General features: G+C 40.5%; 2 long non-coding RNA genes across 6 annotated transcripts in view, besides 1 other annotated feature; both read left to right on the forward strand.

Moving 5' to 3' along the window:
* The window catches only part of MIR3976HG (MIR3976 host gene), a 165,609-nt gene extending 149,450 nt beyond the window's left edge, over positions 1-16,159 (forward strand). For 2 of the 4 annotated variants that reach the window (NR_172498.1, NR_172497.1), the window contains one exon: positions 10,703-12,001. This is a non-coding gene — a long non-coding RNA (MIR3976 host gene). Of the gene's footprint in view, positions 1-5,174; positions 5,385-10,702; positions 12,002-15,859 lie in introns of those variants that run through there. The other 2 variants (NR_172503.1, NR_172496.1) reach the window with 2 other exon arrangements.
* Positions 1-25,431, forward strand: part of LOC121725015 (uncharacterized) — a 93,648-nt gene that overhangs the window by 2,522 nt on the left and 65,695 nt on the right. The window lies entirely within an intron of this gene.
* Positions 1,746-2,945: an enhancer, noted in NCBI's record as "MED14-independent group 3 enhancer chr18:5899993-5901192 (GRCh37/hg19 assembly coordinates)". NCBI's record gives its function as "activates an origin of replication core promoter dependent on BRD2, BRD4, P300/CBP and CDK7 cofactors, and independent of MED14, by STARR-seq in HCT116 cells {active_cell/tissue: HCT116}" and the evidence as "EXISTENCE:reporter gene assay evidence [ECO:0000049][PMID:35650434]".

Below are 25,431 nucleotides of genomic sequence, written 5' to 3' on the forward strand. Positions count from 1 at the left end.
CCAGGAGTGTGCCAGAGAAGGGAAGTCTGCTTATACCAACAGCTCAGCACCTCCTGCCTCTGCACACACCTTTCTCTCACAGATAGTGCAGGCTGCAGAAATAAGTAGTTTAGTGTTGTGAGTTCTGGAGCCAGTTTATCTCCTCCACTAACTAAATTACTTAATCTTGTCTGCCTCAATTTCCCCATCTGTAATGGGGATAATGACACTGATACCTTATTCATAGCATTGTAGTAAAGATTAAAAGAGTGTAGTCAGTGTAGGCTAATGCTTAGCACGTAGTAAGCACTCATTAAACTTAGCTATCACCTTATTGGTCCTAACATCTCCCAGCTTGATACCCTCACTCTCCTGTTCCATTCATATTTTCTGGGATCCACATGGAACTGTATCTGTACTTATTATCTCTGAAGTAGGCTTACAGGATCAGCTGCTGTGATTGAACTACCCCTACCCAGATGACATAGGTCCAATGCCACTCCAGAAAGCTTGCTCCATATGAGAATGAAAACACTTTTCTCCATTGCAACTTTGCTCATTTTGCAATTAACCGGGACCCTTTAATTTCAATTTGCTCAATAACTCAGATTTCAAACTCATGACACACTGTAGTCAAATTAGAAATTTGCAAAAACACAACCAAGAGACATTCTTCAGACCAGAAGTTGGAAGATTTCATAGAAAGGACCTTCAAACCTTGGTATGACATCTCTATATAAGAAGACAGAAACGGTCAACCCCAGATCAAAAACAGGATACAAAATAACTCCTTCTCTTCATTCCTTCCTTACCCTTTTCATACCTCTGCCAATAAAAAACAAAATGACAAAAAAGCATGACAAAATAAAACAATAAGCATACAACTAGAGTCACTAGATTTAGCAAATAAAACTATTGCGTGGGATATACTTCCACTAAAAAACTCTTTGTTGTTTACCTAAAATTCGGATTTAACTAGGCATCCTATATGTTATTTGCAGCCCCACCACAGTGTACCTGATAGCCTCTCAATTTTCTCATGGAACATGCAAAGGACAAAAGAGCCCGATAAGACAGAAAACATGAAATGCAACATTAAATTTATTTTAGAAGAGAATAAGCAGAAAAAAAAAAAACAAGCAAAGCCTGGATGGAACAACAGAACTTCAAAGCCTGAGGATAGTGTTTCCAAGCTGGGCTGGGCTTAGCCTTGGGGTTTCTCATAGTTAGAGGTTGCATGGTTTGTGTTTCTAGCCCTTTCCTATGGAACACTGCCATGCTAGAGGGACAGGCAGTTGCTCCTGCATGCAGTCCCCAGGGTCCCACAAATGAACTTCTGAAGAGATAGAGCTCAACTCACTTTCAAGAACTTCAGCTTTGAAACCAAGGATAAACTCATGCTAGTGTCAAGATCAAGATCAAGCTCATTTCTTGTATTTCTGAGAGGAATCAAAGAAGTTCAAGCCCAAACACTTCCACCACAGAAACAGTGGAAAAAAGAAATGGTGCAAGATCTAAAGAGCCTTCCTTAGAACACATCAGGCAGATTCTGCTGCCTCCGTTCCAGGTCAATAGCATGTAGCAATGACAGCTTCTATCTCTGTCTTCAGCCCCATTCATTTGTCTTTCTCAGTGACAGACCTATCAGGGGTGGTGTCTCTAATAAGTGGGGTTCATTTTTATACATTCAGTTTTCCCCAATAGCCTGAATTTTCTACCATTTTTCATGTACACCATCAAAGCTGGATTCTGTGCGATTCTTACGAAATAATTGAGGTCTGAGATGAGAAACTAGAGTTTGTTGGCAGGCCTGAAAGCAGATCAAAGCTGAGCCTGGAAAAAACTTTGCAGGGAGGGCTCCATCAATGGAGCAGCCAAGATGAGACCCACAGCTGAATGTGCCCTGTGTTCCCAAAACATATCCTAAATGTCCACACTAATGTCATTCATATCATTTTGTATAATCTACAAGCGCATGGAGAGATGACTTGTCCTACTGAGAGCTAATTGCTCACATGTCTGATCTGCTTTCAAAATTAATTGTGATATGAGCTGCTGTGTATACACCGCAGGAAAAAGGATACACACAGATAAAGAACTAGTTTTCAAACGTAAAGAAAGAAACCCAAGAATTCCAAGTAGCAATTCCTGGATTGCTACTTGGGTGGCAGAGCTCTGATTCATCCAGTAAGGATTTTCTTAAGCACCTCTGTGTACCCCACCCTATGATTCTTGCATCATTCACTCAACAAATATTTACTGAGTGTCTATTGTGTTATCGTTATCGTTCTAGGCAGTAGGGATAAAGTAGTGGTGATCTGTGCAAACACAGTCACTCTCAGTGGTGGGAGTTTGAGATAAAAAACAAGTAAATAAACAAGTGAGAAAATTTCAAATCTTGGTGAGCGGTACGAAGAAATTAAAAGAGGTTGCTGTGACTGGTCACACGGGCAGCAAGAGAGAACAATTTAGATTGGGAATTCAGGGAAGGCTTCTCCAAGAAGTGTCATTCCACTGAGAACTGAAAGCTGAAAAGGAGTCGATCACTTGAAAGTATTCCTGGGGAAAAAATAATAAAGGACACGGTGTTATTATCATATAATCTAATTAGATTCATCAGTACACCTTAGGCAAAAAAGAAGAAAAAGATCATTGAGGGAGACAATTAGTTAGGGAATACTTCATGAGTCTGGATCCCCCCCGGCTTGACCTGGCATGGATTTGGGTGAGTGGAGGAAAGGGATAGGGTGGGGCATAACTTCTTTGATTGGTGTACAGGGCCACACAAGGTGGCAGGGAAGACATGATGGCCTAGGTAGCAGGCAGCTAAGTGTGCCATTGACAGAGATGGTAAGAAACGTAGAGTGGGAAGGGGCCTTAAGGTACTTAATGCTCAAATTATAATCCAAGAACCAGCAGCATCAGTGCCACCTGGGAGGTGGTTAGCAGTATAGAATCTTGGGGTCCATTGCAAACCTGATGATTCCAAATCTTCATTTTCACAAGATGCTCAGGTGATTTGCATGCATGTTAAACCTCAAGAACCACTGCTGTATTCCAATTTTCTCATTTTAGGGATAGGGTAACAGAATTTAAATGATCCCCATCTTTACCATCCTAGGCTTGTGGAGGGTGTGTGTGTGTGTAAGAAAGAGAATATTTTGCTTTTAAATATGTATTTCAAATAGTGAACCTGGAGGTCTGTGACACCTGTGGCTAAATGTATGTTTCTTACGTAGGGCAGCAGCATGTTTTTTTTAGCTAGAGTAGAAGAGGAAAGTTAAAATTTGGTGGCTTTTTCAGATCTATGCATCTGTTTAGGAAACAGACTTGGTGAATTTGGGGCCTTAATTCAGCTTTCCGGGAGATCGAATTTACTTTGGGATTACTCTTTGGATTTAGACCATTTGTACCCGAGTAATTAAGCCCCTTCCAGTCATATGACCTTGAGCAGGTCACTTAAGTCTCTGCATATAGTTGTATTGTCTACGAGGGTGACTTGTAACTCTTTTTCAGGGTAGTTGTGAGGAAGAAATGAGATCATCAGTGGCAGTGGCAGCATCAGTTATTTGTGGAGAAGGGGAAGTCTGGTCCTGCCTCATCTCCACTGTCCCTCCAGGGCCCCACCAAGTGAATAGATGGAAGAAAAAGATGAGTACTGGCTAGGTATATATCACTGTCCCTAAGCCTATTCCATACAGAAATCATGGAGCTGCCACTACAGATGTTGCTTGGGGTATGGGCGATGAGGCCTGTAAAGTATTATTTAGACGTTAATGGTGGTGTGATGATGATGGTGAATAGTTACAGAGTGGCCATTCCCTATTGGGCACTGTGCTGGGTACTGGAGATGCAGTCAAGGTCAAGTGCTACCTATGAAGTTTGGGTCAGATCTGAAAGATACACGATGGTTCCCCAGAATGCTTTGTAGTTCTGAATGAGTCCCAGCCAGGCGGCAGTGGCTTCCTGGTCTCCACTCTCTCACCTCCTTATCTTCTGAGCCTCACCCTCCGAGAGCAATTGTGTTTTGCAATAGGCTTAGGTTTCCTTAAATCTCAGACCCATGCCATTGGAGCATCCTGTGAGTCCCACCATTTAGGAATCAGGGGCGGCCTCTAGTATCTCCACAGTGTTTGGAAATCTCCACTACTGAGTTATTAAACATGTAACTCAACGTGTAAGGGAGCAAAGGGTCACACTGTGGCATGAAATTTCACATTTGAAGCAGTGCCAACCCTTCTTTTTGCACACAACTTTCAGATGACCCCATGGCAACATCTGTAAGACATTTATATTCTTTAGGGGTGTAAATACAGAGTCATAGTGAAAGTGAAAACTGCCTCCCTCAAATTATCATCACAAAGCATATATATGTCTAATATATAAAACCAATAAATCAACACTGATGATGTGTTTTTATCCAATGAAACTCTTATGATCTTATCCCAACCATAAAAGATATGTTAAATGATTAAAATGCACTAAAGTAATAAATAGTATGTGTGTATACATACACACACACACACACACACACATATATGTGTATATTCTCAGAAGGAAAAATGCACACAACATTTTTCACACTAAATTTAGTCCTGAATTTCTATAAAATCTTACAAACTGAGCTGGCTTCTTCATACTAAAGAAGATAAACTCTTACAATCTGAGCTGGCTTCTTTACACTAAAGAAGATTAAAGTATCAATACATCAGAAAAGCATCACAAATATTTCTTTTCTAGTGAGAAAGATGCCAACATCACTTCTTGACAGGCAAAGCAAAGTGATTACATAGCTTTCTATAGAGGCAAAATAATGGTATGGTGTATTGGAAAATGATATGCAGAAAAATCAGAGATAATATTTCAAAATATTTCTGAATTTCATTATTTTCCAAAGCCATGCCCCACAAGGATCAGGGCTTGATTACTGAAAAATTTACAGAGAGAGGGAGAGAGAGAGGTAAGTATTTACAGCAAATTGTGTAAGAACTTAGTATATTCACCTTACAAAGAGGCTGTGTCACAGATTTCCTCCAAATTCCTCCCAATCACTTACAGCTTCTGACTTTTGATGACATTAATATTAATGCAATGATAGAAAGATTATACTTTCTAGAAATTTGATACCAATCAGTGTTATAGCTCCACTTTTTTCGGAGCAGGGAGGGGTTAAGAAATGTTTTTTCCATTTACAGAGATAAATATGTGTATGATCAAGGCTAAGAATCCGCAACCCAAGGGAGGAGAATGAGAAAAGATCGTAATTTACAGCAGTTACCTCGAGCTTACTCATCAGAACGCAGATAGGTTTAATGGCTTATTCTAGAAATGTGGGAACTCAGAATTTCTGCAGCTTCGTTTTGTAAGCAGTAAAGGAATTGCCCTGCAGCCTATCGCAGCGGAAGGTGAGGTGAGGAATCCCAGTTGGACTGGGGTCAGGGGGCCATGCTGCTCACCTCTGAGGAAGTTACGAGACTACAGGATTTCATCAATGGAGCTAGTGCTCCGATTTTCTGTTCCTGTCTCTATTGGCCTGCGGAGATATCAAAATGTCAGCTAGTTTCTGTCTCTAAGCAAGACAGGTTCTAAACTATGTCAAAGTATTGAATCTTTTCCCTGGATGATCTCTTCACCTCATAGGTGAGGAGGAGACTTGAAATGTCCTATTTATTTAAAAGATGCAGAAAGTCAAACTAGATAATTTCATTCCTTCGTTGCTTTTTCAGCCATGAAAATCTCAAGGGCATATTGCATAACCTGTTGGACCCAATACATATTAATGCACTATTTAAATGGTGCATAATGTTGAATAGTTGGTATCAAATGATGTAGTTTAAAAAAGTACTAGATGGCTTTTAAGATTCCTTCCTGTTCTCTGAGCCCTCATATTCTCACTTAAAGCTGTGGAAACTCGGGATAGGTCCTTCAGGTAACGCTCATTAGCCCACTTTTTCTGCTTCTCTTGTGCAACCAGAAACATTGGTTTATACAAAACATGGTAAAATTACAATTCCCACAACACACAGAAGCTACTGGTTTGGGTTTGTACTTTGTCCCCAGTTGGAGTTGCGATTCGCAAATCTCTTCAGGAGGTGGGACATTTGAAAATCTCAGAGTGCTTCTTGGAATATTATGAAATATCAAACTTAAAATAAATTCACATACGATTTTGATTGTATCTATCACGAAACCATCTGACATTCGATTCTTACATAGAAATATAGTAGACATCAAATATGTAAGGAATACTTATAGAAGAAAACCTTAAAGCTATGAACCTTTGTCTGATAACATTATTTCTCCTAAAAATTGGAAAAGAACACACTCATTCTATTTGAGCCATGGGACATCTTGACCTAGTTATGGAAAACCAGTATTTCTCAAAGAATATAATTTTAAAAAACATGGTCTTAGCTATTGAATGGTTAGGTACTAAGAATCTCTGTCTTCGGCCATTATTTTTGGTTTTGCCACTTAACATATTGACCTTTGCAATCACACTGCAAACACCTACCTGCTTTCTTATTCACTGCTCTTTCTACCTTCTTTCAGCAACATGGCTGTTCAGGTTTATTTAGCTCATTAACTACCTTGTTTCTCTAGACAATACCCCAGAGATATTAGCTGGCATTTTTTTCCTAGCTGAGTGTCACTTAGTTTATCCTAGTGCATTTTCTTCATCCAAGGAAAACAAACGCTTTGCTATCATTTCTCTATCCTTCCAGTGTCTATGACACCTTCTTCGTTTTGTCTCACCATTTGTTAGGGTTCTGTTTACTCCCTTCTCCTGATCGTTAGTGAACCCGCAGAAGCTCAGGATCACCAGGGGAATTCATCTTCTAGTTATCTGTATTCAAGATCTCATTATCCACAGAGGGACAAGTACCTAGGGCCCTGTATTGTTTCAAGACAGAGAAAGAGGTTAACCCACTTTGAGTCTATTTTTAAAGAAACATTCTATGAAATATTTCTCTACCTAATCCAGGTGATATGCTTACATCTAGTTCAAACACTTCTATTGTACTTCTGTCTTCAGCATTTTATCATTACTGTTCATTCGATAGATTACCTAACTTTTTCAACACAGTATCTCTGTGTGAGGCTGATCATGATGGACTAGCTGTTTGCAAAACTCTCTAGGAGGCTTTGGAGGCTCTTCTTCCTGCAGCCCCCACTCTTGGTAGGATTCTCAGGCAGAAGGGTTATCAACCCTGTGCCTCTGGAGGAAGCACTTCTTCCCATGCGAGACCCCACTGTTCATCTACGCAGCCTCTCTGGGTGTTCCTTTTCATCTTCTAGGAACTCTGCTAGCTTCTACTCTCACCTGTGGGCATTTTCCTGGCTAGGCTACCACTTTTCTCATATCCTCCAACTAAATGCAATAACATTTTTTAGAGTTTTGCTGTCAATCTCATGAGCCAGTAGCTTGCATAATGTAAGTAATACACCTGAGGAATTACAGGGATTACAAGATCTTACCAACTGATGAGGTTGTAAATAGAAGTCACATTGGCTTTATTGCAGTTAACTTTATTTCTGAGAGTGTGGCTCACCCATCTTCCCTCCTGTCCTACAATTAGCAAAGACTACATAGATCTTTGTCATAGATCTTCCTAGTACTGTGTGCTTGAAGAGCCGGACAAAACCTTAGTTGCATGCTAGTCTAAAAAAATGTGAGTGATTTGTATCTCAGAGACATTCTAGATTGAAAAGATGGCCCTGGCCCCTACCTAGAACCTAGAATTCCACCATTTCTCATTCTCATTCACTAACTACTTCCACTGCTTCAGCACTCTTCACCTATTTTAAGATTTCAGGCAAATTCTTCCTTTAGTCAGCTAGAAAGTAAGCTCAATAAGAGCAGCTACGTCATCTTTTTCACTGCTGCATCCTTCACACCAAGGAAAGTGACTGGCCAATATCTATTGCACTCCTTCCATGTACTGGACAGTGAACAGATTGGTGGGCAAAGGGGAGTCTCCAAAAATGCATTAAAATTATTAGAGAGCAACCTGTTAATCAAGTAGCCTATATAAGTAAGAAGAACTAGAAGGAGGTTTTAACTGTTGAATAAGTACAGGAAAATGCCTTATTTCTGAATAGAAAACCAATATTATAAATATGTCAATCATTCCTTTTGTTTAATGCAATTCCAATCAACATCCGACTGGATTTGTCTTTTTAACTTATCAACATTACTCTAGGGATCTACTCAAGAGACATGAAGACAAATTTTCACATAAAACTTGTAGGTGAATATTCATAACAGCATTATTCATGGTAGCTTAAAAAGTAGAACCAATGCAAATACCCATCAGCTAGTGAATGGATCCTCAAAATGTGACATATCCATGCAATGGAATATTACTCAACAATAAAAAGAAATGGAATACAATTACTTGCCACAACATGGATGATTTCAAAAGCATTATGCTCAGTGAAATAAACCAGACACAAAAAACTACATATTGGAATGTATCACTCCATTTGTAGTGAAAGTCTAGAAAAGGCAAATCTAGAGTGATAGAACTAGATTAGTAGTTGCCCAGGGGTTGGAGTGGGATTGAGGAGTGACTGCAAGTGCACACAAAAGGTTCTTCCCCATTTTTTTTTTTTGGTGAGGGGAGTGATGAAAATGTTCTGAAATGAAACCATGATGATGGTTACACAAGTCTTTAAATACACCAAAGTCCATTGAATTGTACGCTTAAAACTGATGAATTTTGTGCTATGTAAATCATGTCTTAACAAAGTAAAATAGAATATTTTAAAGATTATGTGTAAGAATAGAGAGGTATGAGTAGCCAAGGCACTTTTAGAGAAAAAAAAAAGTAGTGATGGGATACTAATTATTACCTTTGGGAAAAGTCTTAGAAGGAGAATTTCTGGATTAAAGGTGTACACAAAATGAATAATAACAGCAATTGAATAAAATAAGAATCCATGAGTCCATATTAGAGTTAGGTAGGTTCCTGGCCAACAGATAAAACAGATTCTCTGTAACCAACAGAGGTGCTGAAAGTTAAAACAGAACCAGTCTGCCATGGCTGCGTGAGGGGGTGGTGGTCATATAGTCAGTATTCTCAGAAAGGTGTTGCAAAAGTGTCACAGGGCCTCCCTTTGTATGATCAAGCCAAACCAGTTTCTGATGGTGCCTAGATAAACTGTGGCCAGAAACACCCTCTCCCCACCACCCGGCCGAAGAACTATCTTACAAAGACTTCTAGTTTGGGGCTTGGAAGCCACCCAATCAGACTGGCACAAGTTTAAATCTTTCATTTGCATACGTGGACCTGATTGAGAATCGGGGTGAGAAACTTTCCCTGTTTAAGCCAGACCCTCCCTTTGTTCTTAGGCGAGCACATTTTCACTTGTATTGAAAGCTGTGCCTCCCCAGTCTGCAGACATTTTTTAAGAAAATAAAGCTCTCTGTCCTCCACAGTCTTTTTTTTTTTTCAGCAATAATGAGCAAACCAATCTAGACAAAAAACCTCACTGCTTAAACAAATAACCCAAAATGAATCAGATTTAAAAGCAAAATAAAACTATAAAATGTTTAGAACATGGGAAAAAATCTGTGGGACATGGGGCTTGAAGAGTTCTTCAACATGACACCAAAAGCACAATCCATAAATGAAAAAATAATTGATAAGTTGAGCGTTATCAAAATTAAAACGTTTGCTTTGCAGGAGACCCTGTTAAGAGAATCAAAAGATAAGTTACAGATCGTGAGAAAATATTTGTAAACCGCATGTCTGACTCTTATTTAGAATATATAAAGAGCCCTTAAAACTCAACAGTAAAAGAAAAAACAATCTGATAGGAAAATGGGCTATAAAATGAACATTTTATCAAAGAGGATTTATAGATGACACATAAGTCTATGAAAAGATGTTCAACATCACTAGCCATTAGGAAAATGCAAATTAAGATGTTGACGAGCTATTTCTATATTCCCAATAGAACAGCAAAAGAGAAAACTGAGGTCCATAGAAGTTAAATCATTTACCCAAGGTCACAGCTAACAAATTGGTAGAGTCAGGATTTGAACGTAAGCAGCCAAACTCTAGAGAACACATTTTTAACAACTGAGCTATATTCCCTTGTTTCCTATAAAAACAATTAGACATGCAAAAATTTATGTACATTGATGTTCATCATTACTTTCTTGAAAATGGTGAAAACTAGAAAAACTTCAATTTTGAAAAGTAGAGAATTGGTTAGATCATTTATAAGCTATCCATCTCTATCCATCTATTGTATGAAAAAATCAGCATCCATTAAAAACAATGCTGTAGAGTTAAGGTCAGCAAACTGTTTCTGCAAAAAAAACAGACAGTAACTATTTTAGGCTTTGCCCACCCTATGGTCTCTATCAGAATATTCAACTCTGCCACTGTAGTGCAAAAGCAGCCATGGGCAATGTGTAAGAATGAGTGATGTGTGGGTGTGTTTCAATACGTTTATTTGCAAAAACAGGCAATGCGATGGCTTTGCCTTATAGTTCATAGCTTGCTGATCCCTGCTGTAGAGTAACTACATATAATGTTGACATGAAATGTTCATGATATACTAAGTGAAAAGAGAATATTAGAATTAAAAAATGTATAATTCAAATGTAAATGATTTTGGAAATTGGAAACTTATAGGTGTGTGCAACAGATACTGCTGTTTGGCTACCTAAAAGTTGCTGCTAAACCTTTCCTTGTCTTCTGCTCTACAGGTTGGGAAGCCAGATATCCACATTATCTCACATCACATCACTGAGCTCTGTGGCCCAGTTCTGACTACATGTTAGAAGCAGAAGTCTGCAGGGGATGGCTTCTGAGAAAACTTGTATTTATTATTTAAATTTAACCTTCTAGCCTGGGAATAAATTCCAGCTTGCTTAGAACAATACAGCACAGAAGAGAGCCTGAGTTCCTGGTGCATCCCTGTGCCAGTGTCTCAATCCTGCCCCACCGATTTCCAATTTCTTATTATGTGAAAAGCAACCCTCCCTTCTTTGATTAAGTCATTATTGATAGGGTTTTTTTGGTGACTTGCATCCAAATGCATTCCTTAACTCAAACAAAATAGAAGGGGAATTCCACATTCACACTGTTGCATCAGACAAGCTCTGGCTTCTCAGAACTTTAGTTTTCCATTTACTAGAGCTCAGAATCAAAGAGACAGTAAAGAAACCCATTTAAAAATTGCTTGGCATATATATCTTGGGTGATGGGACTTCATGGGTAATATTTTTAAAATTTCTTTGTGTATTTTTCTTTTATTGTCAAACGTTATTAAAGAGACCATAGATACCTTTTGTAATTATAATAAAAAACAAAATGTTACTAAGAACAGTGAGAACTCTTAAGCTAACTACAAGATAATTAATATATAACTGCAAAATATAAAATACCAAAGCCATTTTCAAATAAAGAAACAGAGCCACATGAAACTTTGCAGTTTAGCCAAAGTCATTTCAGGATTCTGAAGCTGGGGAGGAAGCAAGGCTTACTTAGCCCGTGGCTAGAATTCACTTTTGAAAACTCCATTTTTGTCCATTCCCTCTTATCACTACTTGCTTGCAAGTTAGGAAACAAATTAGAACAAAAGCATTGTTTGTCGTCAGTGGTCAATGTTCATTGCTTTACCAGAGGCTCGGGATTAGAAGATTCTCAGAACCAGTTAGCTCCTGATACAATCGGGCCTTGATATGGTTTGGATTTGTGTCCCCACCCAAATCTCATGTCGAATTAGAGGAGGGGCCTGGTGGGAGGTGATTGGATCATGGGGGCAGATTTCCCTCTTGCTGTTCTCATGATAGTGACTGAGTTCTCAAAGATCTTAGGGTTTAAAACTTTTGTGGCACTTCCATCTTCGCTCTCTCTTCCTCTCTCATGCTGCCATGTGAAGAAGGTGCCTGCTTCCCCTTTGCTTTCTGCCATGATTGTACGTTTCCTGAGGCCTCCCAGTTGTGCTTCCTGATAAGCCTATGGAACTGTGAGTCAATTAAATCTCTTTTCTATATAAATAACCCAGTCTCAGGTAGTTCTTTATAGTAGTGTACAAATAGACTAATACAGGCCTGAAATAAGTTGACATCTAAAAGCCACCTGAATTATTTCTGGGAATAGACTGAGGTACTTTCTGTTTTAAAATTCTTGGCTTTTGTTACCCAGCCAAACTGGGGCCTGCTTGCCCAGTGCAGTAAGGCCAAACATGCACACTGAGTTTATGCAGTGGGAGAAAAGAAGGTGTTTTATTTGCAGAGTGCCAAGCAAGGAGAATACAGCAGCTCACACTTAAGACTCAAACTCCCCAATGGCTTGCAGGTAAGGGTTTTTAACAGAAGGGATAAATTTCAGGAAAACAAATTATAGGCAAAATCATAAATCAATATATGGAAGTTATACATTGGTTTGGCCTAAAAAGGCAGAATATCTTGAAGTGGGGTCTTACAGGTCATAGACAGATTCAAAGATTTTCTGATTTGCAATTGGTTAAAGAAGGGAATCTTTGTCTAAAGACTTGGAATCAGCAGAAAAGAATATGAGATCTGACTCGTGGTTGTTGCTTCCTCCACGCCCCTCAGAAAGAAACTTCGAACAACGCATGGCAGTCAGAGTTCAGTCTACAGCCCCCCGTCATCTGAGGTCTCCGTGCCAGTGGGTCCATTTGGTGGGGGTCTGAGTTTCTGAAAACTCAGGGACATATATTATAACATTATCTTCACTTTCTCGAGGGAACCAATGTCTCCTGATTCTAGCTTCCTTGGCTATTGTTTTAAGCTACTGTTACCTTCTCACTTACCAAGTTGCTCATTTACTTCTTAGGAATAGCTAGGTGCCTGGAATTTCCCTTGAAGGAACTCAAGATTTTCCTTTGAAAGCAGGGGTCCCTGCTTCATCTCAGTTTCATAATAAAAGAATCGAAGATAACAAATATACACCATGGATACAACCTCAGTACCAAGCTTAGCATGAAGTGGGAATTCAAAAATAATAATTAACAGTGTCATCTATTAAGACAAAACATTTTGAGACAATTATGGATTCACCCATAATTCCAGTATGTCCTTTTTTTTTAAAGAAGTCTTTTATAGTCGTGTTCTATGGAGTTCTTTTCACAGCTTAATTTTCTTCAAATCATTATTATTTCTCCTTCTTGTTTTCTTCAGTTTCAGTGCCAGTTAAAAGAAGTTGTACTCTAGCTAGTTTGATTTTTTAAGTAGATGCAGAGCTAAATTTTTGCCTCAGGATACATTTTCCAAATTCTCCTCCACCTCCTCAGTTTCCACCTCCTGTTAAAAGCACCTCCATCAACCCTCACTTAGACATTGCCTACTTGGGGGTTTTTGTCTTACCTTTGCATTGATCGCATGATTCCTGAGGACAAGGATTCTGAGCTCTCTCAGAGGGCAAAGTACATTGAGTTTGTTGCTTGTCTTAGGCAACATTTTAAAGTAGGAGAATATAGAGCTCTCCTCTGATGTCTGCAGCCTTCCCGGTTTTACCCCATAATTCTAAAACAAGAATAGTAAAAATCCCACCTCTCATCCACTTGGGTCTGACTCTATAGGACTTCTTAGGTGTTATCCAGGTAATTTGATCAATTAATTATATTAAGAGGAATCTTCTGGAAGCTGCTCCTAGAAGACTTGCCAAGCTCTCCCACAGACAATGGCCTCCACCTTCTCCTTTTGTTATCTAACCCCCAAGCGACTCAAGGGATCTGAATTTCAGAGTGAGTAGTGGTGGGGTCAGGCTGGTGGGGAACCTATTTGAAATGTTTGCACCGGCTTCCTGCCCAATGGGTCGAAAGAGCTATTTGAATTTTGTGGCAAAAAAAATTCTGTATGCCTAAAAGATGCCAGATGGAGAAGGAAGTGGTGTGTTTAGCCACAGGAGAGATACTGCATGGATAATAGGTTCTCTACCCGCTTTTTGTCAACGTCAACATCAGCTTGTCAGTCTGTTAGGTCGATCATATGTAAGAATAATTCTCAGCATTCATCAACTGCTGAGACCTTCCCAAACCTAATTTTATTCTCAAGACAAACCTGTCAATGAGGTTTTATTGATTGTTTCCATCATACACATGGAGAAATGGAGGCAGAGGTTTAGAGAGAAAAACATGAGTCAGAGTGGGAAGGGAATTAACCCAGGGGACAGTCTCTATAGTTCTTCCCTCTGAGTTTGCTACAAAAATATTATTTATAAATCATTTGAAATGGTGATAACACTGAGCCCGCCAATTCAATCAAGAAACAGCCTCTATGTTGTAGCTCCATTTATTTTTCACTGGCCAGAGGTAGTGCTGAGGTAACAATTGTAAAGGTGAGAAGTCACAACTTCTATTACGGATATCTAGGGATACCTACTGAGGACGACTTGCCTGAGAGCTTATGCTCCCAGCATTGGTGAGAAGTGCTTTCTCCTTGCTGGCTTTGAGCCACTTCCCAGAGGAGTTCCTGCTCCTCTGTTTAGAAATTGCAGAGTGGGTGTGGGCGTGCCATGTTTCTTAAGTTGCCTAAGACCCAAAAGGTTATTTTTAAAAATGTAAATATACACCCAAACTCATTGAAATAATGGTAATGGGAAGATTGAGCTGAAGACCGTGATTGAGAAATGCACGTTACCATGGTAATAACAGGGTGGGCAAGGCTAACTCTGGCCCTTCCACATTTATTTTAAACCAGTAGTTCTCAAATAGTAGCGTGCATCGGAATACCCTAGAGGGCTTGTTAAGAAACAAGTTACCAGCCCCACCCCCAGACTTTCTAATTTAGTAGATCTGGAGTGGGCCTTATAATTTGCATTTCTAACCAGTTCCCAGGTCTAGCCCTAGGGCCAAATCCATGTTTTCACCTGTTTTTGTAAGGTCTGCAAATTAGTAATAGTTTTTACAGATGAACCTTTGCAAATGATTCCATGATAGGCAACACTAATTTTGAACCCCAATTAAGCAAAATTCTGTCCCCCCTCACAATTACATTCTTTTCATTAGTAGACCTGCATTACACAAAAATTGTACCCAATATTACAGTTTGAATTTCATCAATGAAAACTTAGTGGAATTTTGTTTTTCTCCCTTGTTATATAATAACTACCCAGATAAGATGCTCAATTTTGTTTCTTGGCCCACAAAGCCTAAAGTATTTATTCTCTAGACTGTTAAAGAAAAAATTGCAGACCCCTGGCTTAACTGATGCTGCTGATGTGGGGATGACTTTGAGAACCACGTAAGCCATTTGCTAAGCTAAGTGTAGTAAACCCTCCTTCCACTGATTTAATACAATTCCACGGGCCCAACTGTCCTGGACTATCACACAATGCCGAGAGAGAGGCACCACCCCTCAACCTACAATGTTCCCCTCCAGGGAGCGAAGCTGCGGAGTCTAAAAACGTGAGGCAGTGGCTCAGCGTAGAGAAAGGATATTCCAAAACATCTAATGGGCACAACTGTAAGGGAAGTAACATTTGTTTTGGGTGTTGTCCCACCTCTCATTCTAAGCTGTTCCCATCCCAGATGCTGGGGACTCTGGGGATTCTCTGACTCTGCAATGTCCCCAACTCCTGCTCTCCAGTCAGACCTGCACCATTGCATCTGCAGCTAGCTCTGCAGTCATGCCCCAAGTAAATGCTGGTTAAGTAATCTGATTATAATCTTAGAATTTATAAGTCTGTGATTTATATCAAATATTCATGGTGTATATGACAGCTTCCTTTGTCATATGATATAGAAATATCTGTTACATTATATAGAAATTAGTGCACTGAAAAAAGTTTACTTTTTAAAAAATCTTGACTATTTTTGTCCCCACTCTTTAATTCTGCTGTCATTAGGAGATTCTCATATTTAAAAGTGCTCAAAGCAAGGTATTCTGTTGTAGCCTGTCTTGAAGGAGTACCACCTGTCTTCAGCCTGCTAATGAAAATTGGAATTCTCTGAGGAAAGCTCTGTCATCTAGAATCTTCTGACCAGTGGATGAGTCAGCTCAGGGCCTCTTCTCTGCATCTTCCTTGGACTCGGACTGTGGGAAGCCCTGTGGAAAGCAGGATGATCTAACAGCAGGATAAAGATTGTTTTTGTTATCATGTCCCATGGCTAAAAATTACCCACTGCTTTTCCTTCTTAAACTGGGATCCTCAACTTGGAATCTCTGGCTATTAATAAAGTCTGGAGAGAGCAATAGAGTGCATTGGTTAGGACCTCAAGCATCAGCAGACCTAAATCTGAGTTATCACTTTATCACTAACTGTGAGAGCTTGGACACAATGCTTGCCATCTCTTCACACCATCCACTCACATGTGCAATGGTGTAAAAATCACAACTACTCAGAGGTAGTTGTAAGGATGAAAATAGATAATGTGCAAAGTCCGTAGAACAGTGTGTGGCATGCAGCTTAGTGAGGGCTCCACAAATTGTAGGTTTGGTATTATTTTGCATAAGCACTCTATTAGGCAGAAGCTGATCGTTTATATATCTGAGCTACCCACTAAACTTATTCATCCATTGTCTTATTCATTTATTCATTTGATAAACATTTTTGAACACCTGTTGTGAGCCAAGCACCTTCCGGGATTTGGGGATACAGTGTGACCAAGCCAGGTGAGACCCCAGCCTCCTCAGAGCTCATTTTGGTAGACTCTGAGCTCCTAGAGAGGGAGATCCCATCCCTGTATCTCACATAGAGCCTAGCACAGCACTATACCCAGAAGAGATCCTTTCAAAATGCTGTTAAAGAATGACTGGGTAAGTGACACGCCTAAAAAGTGGGGAGAAAAGTCAGGTGTGGTTGCTTCCCCTCTGCTGTTACTGGGACTCAGCTACCGTTAGGAGTAGCCCCTCTAATATACGCAGATGGACCAAGACCGAAGCTGACCATCCTGAGTTCTGTGCCAGGAACTCCTTCCCAGGGAGCACAGAAGGAAAGTGCTGGGCCCTGGAGAGATGCCAGTCACTCCGACAATGGTCTTCATCTTAATTGCAGTATGTAATTCAGCACTAGGTTCCAAGTGGCAGCCACACTGAGGTTGTTTTCCCACATAACTCAATGTTCTTTTCATTGCCATGGTATATGAGCAAACTGTTCAGCTGTGAGTGAGTTCAGGGGAAGGAAATATAAGATTAGACTGCCATGCGTACTGAAAGGCAGAAAAGCTTCCATATTATGGAGCAATAAATTAAGGAATAATCACGAAAATGTTACAGATAATTCACATCAATCAAGTAACTTACAGTTACTTTATTATTTTAGATTATATTCATGATTATTATTTAATGTGTTTTTAATATGAATGTACAGCTTTATGTAATCCTTTTGTAATTGAGAAGGAATTAGAGGTCCAAGTGCTCTGAAATACTTTCTTTTTTTCAATTGCCCAACATTTAGAAGACTCCTGTTTTACAGCTAATGCCAATTATTCCACATAGACATACACTTTTTATCTCTTTATTGCATGTCGGGATAACTAAAATCTATCAGATTTAAAGTTTAAGTTTTATGGCCAAAGTCATATTTCTATTTCTGCATGAGTCTAACTAATGCTCATGGATCCACAGTCCCTACCAGAGGAATTCATCATTAGTCAATCAACAAATATTCCTTGGGGAGCCGCCTTGTGCAAGGTATGAGAATGGAGCCTTGGAGCTAGATACACAAAAAAATCACAGAGCTTTGTCCTTGATCTCTAGACACTTTTAGTTTTGTTTGGAAAATAAGACATATAGGCATGGGATGACAATTAAAAATATAAGGCAATAAATGTTGAATGTCAAATGATAGCATCAGAAACAGTTGCTGTGGAAGTCCACAGGCAACAGCAGTCTGGGGTCATATTTGGTTGTGGAAGCCTTGCCCACTGAATGTTGTTTGTTTCACAAAAGGTTGCCTGATGAAATGGGAGAAAAGTGGGGTAAGTCATATTCCCTTGCTACTTGAGTGTGATTTGAGAGCTAGCAACTTCAGCAACACCTGGGAGCCTGTTAGACCTGCAGAATCTCAAGCACGACCCAGGACTGACTGAGTCAGAATCTGCATTTCAACAAGATCCCCAGTGATTGTGCATTAAGGTCTCAGAAGCACTGGCCTATCCTGCAGATTCGTAAGTCACTTGTCTTTTTTGAAACAGCGTCTCTCTCAGTCACCCAGGCCCCAGTGCAGTGGCGTGATCATAGCTCACTGCAGCCTGAAACTCCGGGGCTCAAGCGATCCTCCTGCCTCAGCCTCCAGAGTTGCAGGGATTACAGGCATGAGCCACCATGCCCAGCCACTTTTCTTGTTTGATGGAAAGTTAGACTCATACTTGCTAATCTCATTCTCACTCCAATAAAAAATAAGGCAATTAAAGGAAACCATTCATTCAACAAAACTTTGTGTACCTTCTTGTGCTAGAAACTTTGTTCCAGTCACACACTAAATATATACAAGTACCCAAAGACAGTTTTGGATATTCAGTACTAGTGACTTCATACTGATGGCTCTGAGGCCTAAGGGTCAAACAGATTTGTAATACTCAGGGGTGTCTCCTTCATCAACTAGCAAACCTGGGTCATCCCCAGAAGTGGGGTAAATTTGTTAGAAACTCCTATGGGCCAGGCTCAGTGGCTCACACTTGTAATCCCAGTACTTTGGGAGGCCAAAGCAGGTGGATCATCTGAGGTCAGGAGTTCAAGACCAGCCTGGCCAACATGGTGAAACCCGGTCTCTACTAAAAATACAAAAAAACCCAAAAAGAAATAGCTGGGCGTGGTAGTGGGTGCCTGTAATCCCAGCTACTCGGGAGGCTGAGGCAGGAGAATCGCTTGAACCCTGGAGGCAGAGGTTGCGGTGAGCTGAAACTGCTCCATTGCACTCCAGCCTGGGCAACAAGAGCAAACCTCCATCTCAAACAAACAAATCTCCTATGGCGACAGAGTGATGCCCAGGGAAGGTGGAACTCTGTGCCGAAACAATGTTAGTTTTGCATTTGGTGTCCTACTGTCCTGACTGTCTATTCAGCAATCTATTTGACATTTCAACCTCTGTGTCTAACAGGCTTCTTAATAATAAACATCCAAAAGAGAAGTGTTAACTTTCTCCCGCAAATCTGTTTTGCCCCGATCTTCCTCTTCTTCATAAATGAGACTACCATCTGCCATGTTGATAAGCCAAAACTTAAAACTCATTCTGAAGTCTTCATCTGTCCTACCCACCACATGTAATCCAGGAGCACTCCCTGTCCATTCCACCTTCAGACTAGGATGCTGGCTATGTCCCCGTCGGGTCGTCTCCATGGGCACTATCGGCCGTCTTGCCTGGGGGATTGTGCTGGCCACCTACGGGGTCTTCCTGTCTCCACCCTTGCTCGTGTCCAAGCTCATCTCCATACAGCAGCCAGAATGGTCGTAGACAAATGTCAGTCTCTCCATGTCATTCCTCTGCTTGAAACTTTAATGATTTCTTATTTATCTTCAAATAAAACTGAAATGATCAGGCTCTGTTTGATTGGTCCTGTTGTTTCTTCCTCTTCCCCTGTTGCCCACCATCCTCCACCAAACTGACATTTTAAATTATTCCTTCAACATCCTCATGTCTTTTCTGCCTCAGGATCTTTGCATCTGTTACTTGGAATGGTCTAGAACTGTCTAGAGCGGTCTGCCTGACTCTTCACATGGTTGCCTTTTGATCTTTCAGAGCTCAGAGTAGCTGTGCTGACTTAGAGAGGCCTTCCCTGAAGTTCATCTAGCAGGCAACCCCAGCGTTCTGATGTACTTCGTGGCTCTGATGCCAACTACCAATCACATGAAGGGCTGAGACTTCATCTCTCTTGTTCATTTCTATTTCCCCAGCACACAGTGTGCTCCATACAAATATGTGACTGAATGAAAGTGTAGTTCTGGATTTGTGTGGCTTGATAATGTTTTTCCTTTTTCAGTGTAAATCTGAAATACTTTTTAATTCAATTAACCAAGTTTTAGAATAATGCTGCTATGCAGTTAACAGAGATTATTAACACAGGAATACACATTCTACCTCTGTATTTCATACAGGTAAAACAATGAGCCAGATGGAATTTGAATATAGGTGCCTCTAGCCAGCTGATCATATGGAGGACAGAGCTCATGCCCAGCACACAGCAGTCTCTGCAGTGTAGTCAAGCTTGCCACCAGATCCACTCAGACAGCACTGTAGCCACTTGGGTAGGGAGGAGTCTCCTCAATGGGCCTCTCTGGGTGTAGTGGAAGTAAGAGAGCCCTCTGAGTCCCTACGCCCTGACAGGAAGTACAGATGAATCCTTACTTAAACAGAGAGGAGATCACTCCACTTTCCTTAAGTGGTTTAGATTGTTGGTTCCTTTTGAACTCTAAGGAATTGGGCAATGTTTTAAAAAATTATAAACTACCTGTTTCCATGTCCAACACAATACTGAAGAGTCTCATGCTTGGTGATTGTGGGTGTGGCAGGTAGAATAATTCCAATGACATCTGCATCCTAATCCCCGCCCCTGCCTCAATCTGGAATGGGATCCCTTGCAAGGCAGACATGGTGAAAGACCTGAGATCGGGAGGTTATCCTGGATTCTCTGGTGGTCCTAGTGTCATCACAAGGACTCAATGTCATCACAAGGGTCTCTAAAGAAGTCAGAGCAGGAGAAGTAATGACAAAAGCAGAGTGTCAGAGTCAGATCGAGGCTTGAAAATGTTACACTGCTGGTTTTAAAGATGGAAGGAAGTCATGAGCCAAGGAAAGCTACAGTTTTCCTTGATGACCCTCCCACCTTAGCCTCCTGAGTAGCTGGGACTACAGATCCCAGCTCACTTGAGCCTGGGATATCGAGGCTGCAGTGAGCTATGTCTGTGCCACTGCACTCTAGTCTGGGCAAAAGAGTGAGACTCACAAAAAGGAAAAAATGACCATTTTATGTAGTTTTCTAGAAGATAATGAAGAATCCGTCTGTGGGACTTGATTCCTGTTTTCTTCCTGGAAAATGGTGTGGAGTGATAGATGGATGGTTTATTGCAGTTAGAAAAAACTGCTCCTGCTTTCCTACCACCTTGTGAGCATAGCTGTGGAAAGGGGAATTCTCAGCAAGCGTCAGAGCTCAGTGCTTATGATACAGTGAGAGCTATAGCTGACATTTAAATACTTTTTCATTTTTCATTTTAAACCACCCTGTAAGCATTCACTAATTAATCCTCATCAGGCACTGATGTGAAAGAATTACCTTCAATATTCTGCAGATGAAAATAGTTCATGCAGTACTTCAGAAAGTTCACCTGATGATGGAAAGGAGGAAATGTGTCTCTTGCCACACCTACTGCTGTATTTTAAAGCAGTCGTTCTCAAGAGGGACCTGGTGCTATCAAAAGGCACCTATGTAACCATACATATGAATACGTCAAGTGGATACTGCTTCCCGCTGTCCGTGCAGCAGCATCATCATCACAGTGCACACTTGATCCACATGCTGTGTGCCACACACGTGCATGCCCTATACCCCCATTACACCCTCCTCTCTCCCTTCAGAAGCTCCCACTCTAGGCCAAGCCCCATCATTTCTCCCCTGGGCTAAGGCAGTGAACCCCTGATAGATCTGCCTTCTCCCTTGCCCCCAACAGTCTCTCCTAGCAGCAGCCAGAGTGATCTTGTAAAAACTTAAATCAGATCAATGCCACTCTTCTGCTTCAATCCTATCATGATTTTTCATTTCCCTTACAGTAAAGTTTCTTCTTCTTACCTTGACTTCTGTTATGAACTGATCATTTATGTCCCCCCAGAATTCCTATGTTGAAACCTAACCCCCAGTGTGAAGGTATTAGGAGATGGATGGGGCCTTTGGGGGTTGAATAGGTTGTGAGAGTGGAGCCCTCATGAATGGGATTAGTGCCCTCATAAATAGAGTCCAGAGATCTCCCATGCTTCTCTTTCTGCCATGTGAGACTACAACAAGAAGACGACAGTCTACAACCTGGAAGAAAGCCCTCACTGGAACCTGACCATGCTGGGACCCGATCTTAGACTCCAGCCTCCAGCACTGTGAGAAACAAATGTTTGTTGCTTAAAAGCCACTTAGTCTATAGTACTTTGTTATAGTACCCTCAAAGGACTACAGTAGCTTCAAAGCCCTGCAGTGTCGGGTCCACACCAGCCTCCTGAATGCTGATCCTGGCTGATTACATCCAGCTACACTGGCCTCTTCCTCTTTTCTGAATGTCCCAGGCCTATACTCACCTCCAGACCTTTGCACTTGATACTCCTCTGGTCTTCCCATGACAGCTCCTTCACTTCTCAGCTCAGACGTCAGCTCCACAGAGAGGCCTCTCCTAACAATCCCATCTACAGGGACTGGGTATCTAATGTAAGTACCATAGTGACTAATAAAATGAAAATTAATTTGAAAATGCTGCCAAAGTCATAATTGGTTGCAGTCATTTGGAATGCTTTTTCCAATTAACAGTGGTCTATGAAAGTTTTTGATGTTAAAATGTGGTCCTGATACTTGAAAGTTTGTGAAAAGGATGAATTCCATCATGAAAGGAAAATAACTATTACATGGGGGCACTATATTTTTTAAAATGCTACATGATACAAAAAGATGACACTAGTGTATGCTGAGACAGTTGTTCATTATACATTTCTGGAACATTTCCCAAAACTACATACTGACTTTAATGTGGTAATGACGCAAACACCTAGTTTAGAGTCAGGCGTTGATTAACGGTAGTTCCTTACTCCTTGGATATGAGAGAATTTGTTTTCCTAAGCTTCTCAAAGTCGCAGGAGACTCTGCATTTGTTTATCAAGACTTAAGAAAGTATCATGGCAACACAAATAGGACCTATAAAAAAGAGAAAATTTACTATCAGTCTCACTGCAGGCAATTTAACTATCAGTCAACTTGTGAGACAAAATGTATCATTCTCTAAAATTTCCATTTGGGGAGCAAATCAGTTTATTTGTTATGTCAATAGAATGTGAGACTGAACTCTTATAAACTGCAAAAAGATTTGATGGTCTCTGACAAAAAAAATGAAAAAGCTGTAGAAAAATAAAATGATTTGAAAAATCCAAAACTTAGGAGAAATGTATACTGTAGAATGGGAAAATGATGTGTATAACCTCATGGTCTTTCTAAGGAGTGTGTCCCTGTGATCCAGTGGTGCTATTGTGCGTGGAGCACTTCAGTGCATTAGGGAGCAGGACCTGGAGTGAGTGGAACTGCTCTGCAAACCTGCAGGAAGAACTGGGGGAAAGAATTTGAAGGGTGGCACAGGAAGTATAAGAGGTGGGAATGAGGAGAAGAAGCTGGGTAATGCATGGGTAAGGGGTCAGTGAGAAACCTCCTTGATAGGAGAGGGTGGAGAAAGGGTGGACAAGGGATATTTAAGGACAGGAATACATACTGTGGGATACTAAGTTGTTGGAAATACACTGAATATATGACCTTCCCTAATGGTCCTCCAACCTTCAATACAGTTGGCTTTGCATAATTGTGTATGGGTATGGGTGTGTGTAAACCAAGAAAGGGCCTGAATTTCATGTCTGTTTAGCAAAACAAGGGGAAAAGTGGCCATGAGAATACAAGCCCTTGGAGGTGCACAGGGACCTCAATCTAATCCAATACAGTTCTTACAGAGGCCACGAAGTCACAGTGATATCTGGATTATGGCTCCTTAGAAGCCTCCAGGGGTCGTGGGTGGGAAGATGTAGTGAAGAACTTATTTTAGTGTATTCTGATACTGAAAGCTGTTGGTTTTCAGCTGAGGGTAATATTTAATTGGGAAGCCATAGCTTTTATCTTATTGTTATACACGTCTTTATATGGAAGACAGATGGTCTTTAATGCTGCACATCAATACCAGAACATTTTTCACTATAGTTTTATAAAATTCCTACCTGTACATATGTTCAGAAATAATAGAGACATAAATTTAGTTTCACTGAAGAAAATTCCCTAAAATGTGATAGGATAATGGTTTCACAAACATTTGAGAAATAGCTGTAAGTGGTGAGCAGAGAGATGTTAGTCTTTCAGAAGTTATTGGAATTTTCAGTTTGATGCCAAGCTCAGAGGAATATAAATGGCAGCTATGAAGTCATCATATTTTAAATTTGATTGTATTATTCCACATAGCACATTTTTTTCCACATAGCACATTTTTATTTAAGTAGGGGAAAACAGATTTGAAGTAATCTGATTAAAAATCATATCCTGGGGCATCACCTGAAAATATTGAAACCCACCTGTATGAGAAGTGGAAAAGGGACTTCATCCTGGGCCTTAGTCTGAATTTTGATTCTGCAAGCTAATGTGGCTCTTTATTAAGATAACTTGAGGCTTGTAATATCTTTAGTTTTCAACAAGTTTATTTCATATACATTTCATATATTTTAAATGTGTCCTTTGAATACGTTATTATGAAATGTTATATGAGAATGTCAGTCTTCTGATAAAAAGCAAAGAAGGTTTAAGTTTTGTGTTCTGGGAAGATATGACTCAGGGACTTGGAGAGAAATCTACTGAGCAAACAAATATAGATAGTTATGAAAAAACAAGGGGCAATTATATCTCCTTTCCTCTAGGAAGAAATAATTCTACTTCCTATAGTATATGATGGCAACGGTAATCTGTACAACTTTCTGGAAATATGCTGCTAACAAGTTAACATTGAAAGGGACCATTGCTTATGTGGGAAATGAAGCCTACATGTTGGTTGCAGTTTGCAATGAGTCATCATGATCTATCAGTGTTGAAAATTAGGGTATGTTGCTGCTTTACAGAGCATCTTTCTGGAAATATGCAGTTAACGAGGTAACACATCTGTGGTGGTGGGGACATTTCTTTAAGAGGAAGATAAAGGGAGACAGTGATGAAACTCTCTGTGCTTTCCTCTCCTTTCTCCTGCTTCCCTTGTCTCTTTCCCCTCCCCCGAGTTAGTTCCTTTTTCCCTGAGTAGTTGTTTCTCTCTCTCTCTCTCTCTCTCTCTCTCTCTCTCTCTCTCTCTGTCTCTCTCTCTCTCTCTCTCTCTCACACACACACACACATACACATGCACCTGTATTTGCTCAGTCTAGGAAAGCTTAGGCCAAAGGTTTAAAGTTATATTCAGGCTGAAACTCTTTCTGTCTTGTACTCATGGAGGTTATGAAAATGATCACAAAAAAATGTGAAGCTCATTTCAAATAAAATGCTATGTCTGGGCCAGGCACAGTGGCTCACACCTGTAATCCCAACACTTTGGGAGGCTGAGGGGGGCATATCACGAGGTCAGGAGATTGAGACCATCCTGGCTAACACGGTGAAACCCCATCTCTACTAAAAATATAAAAAATTAGCTGGGCGTGGTGGCAGGCGCCTGTAGTCCCAGCTACTCGGGAGGCTGAGGCAGGAGAATGGCATGAACCCGGGAGGTGGAGCTTGCAGTGAGCCAAGATCATGCCACTGCACTCCAGCCTGGGTGACAGAGTGAGACTCAGT

The sequence above is a fragment of the Homo sapiens genome, chromosome 18 (genome assembly GCF_000001405.40).
Source record: "Homo sapiens chromosome 18, GRCh38.p14 Primary Assembly".
Classification (NCBI taxonomy): Eukaryota; Metazoa; Chordata; class Mammalia; order Primates; family Hominidae; genus Homo; species Homo sapiens.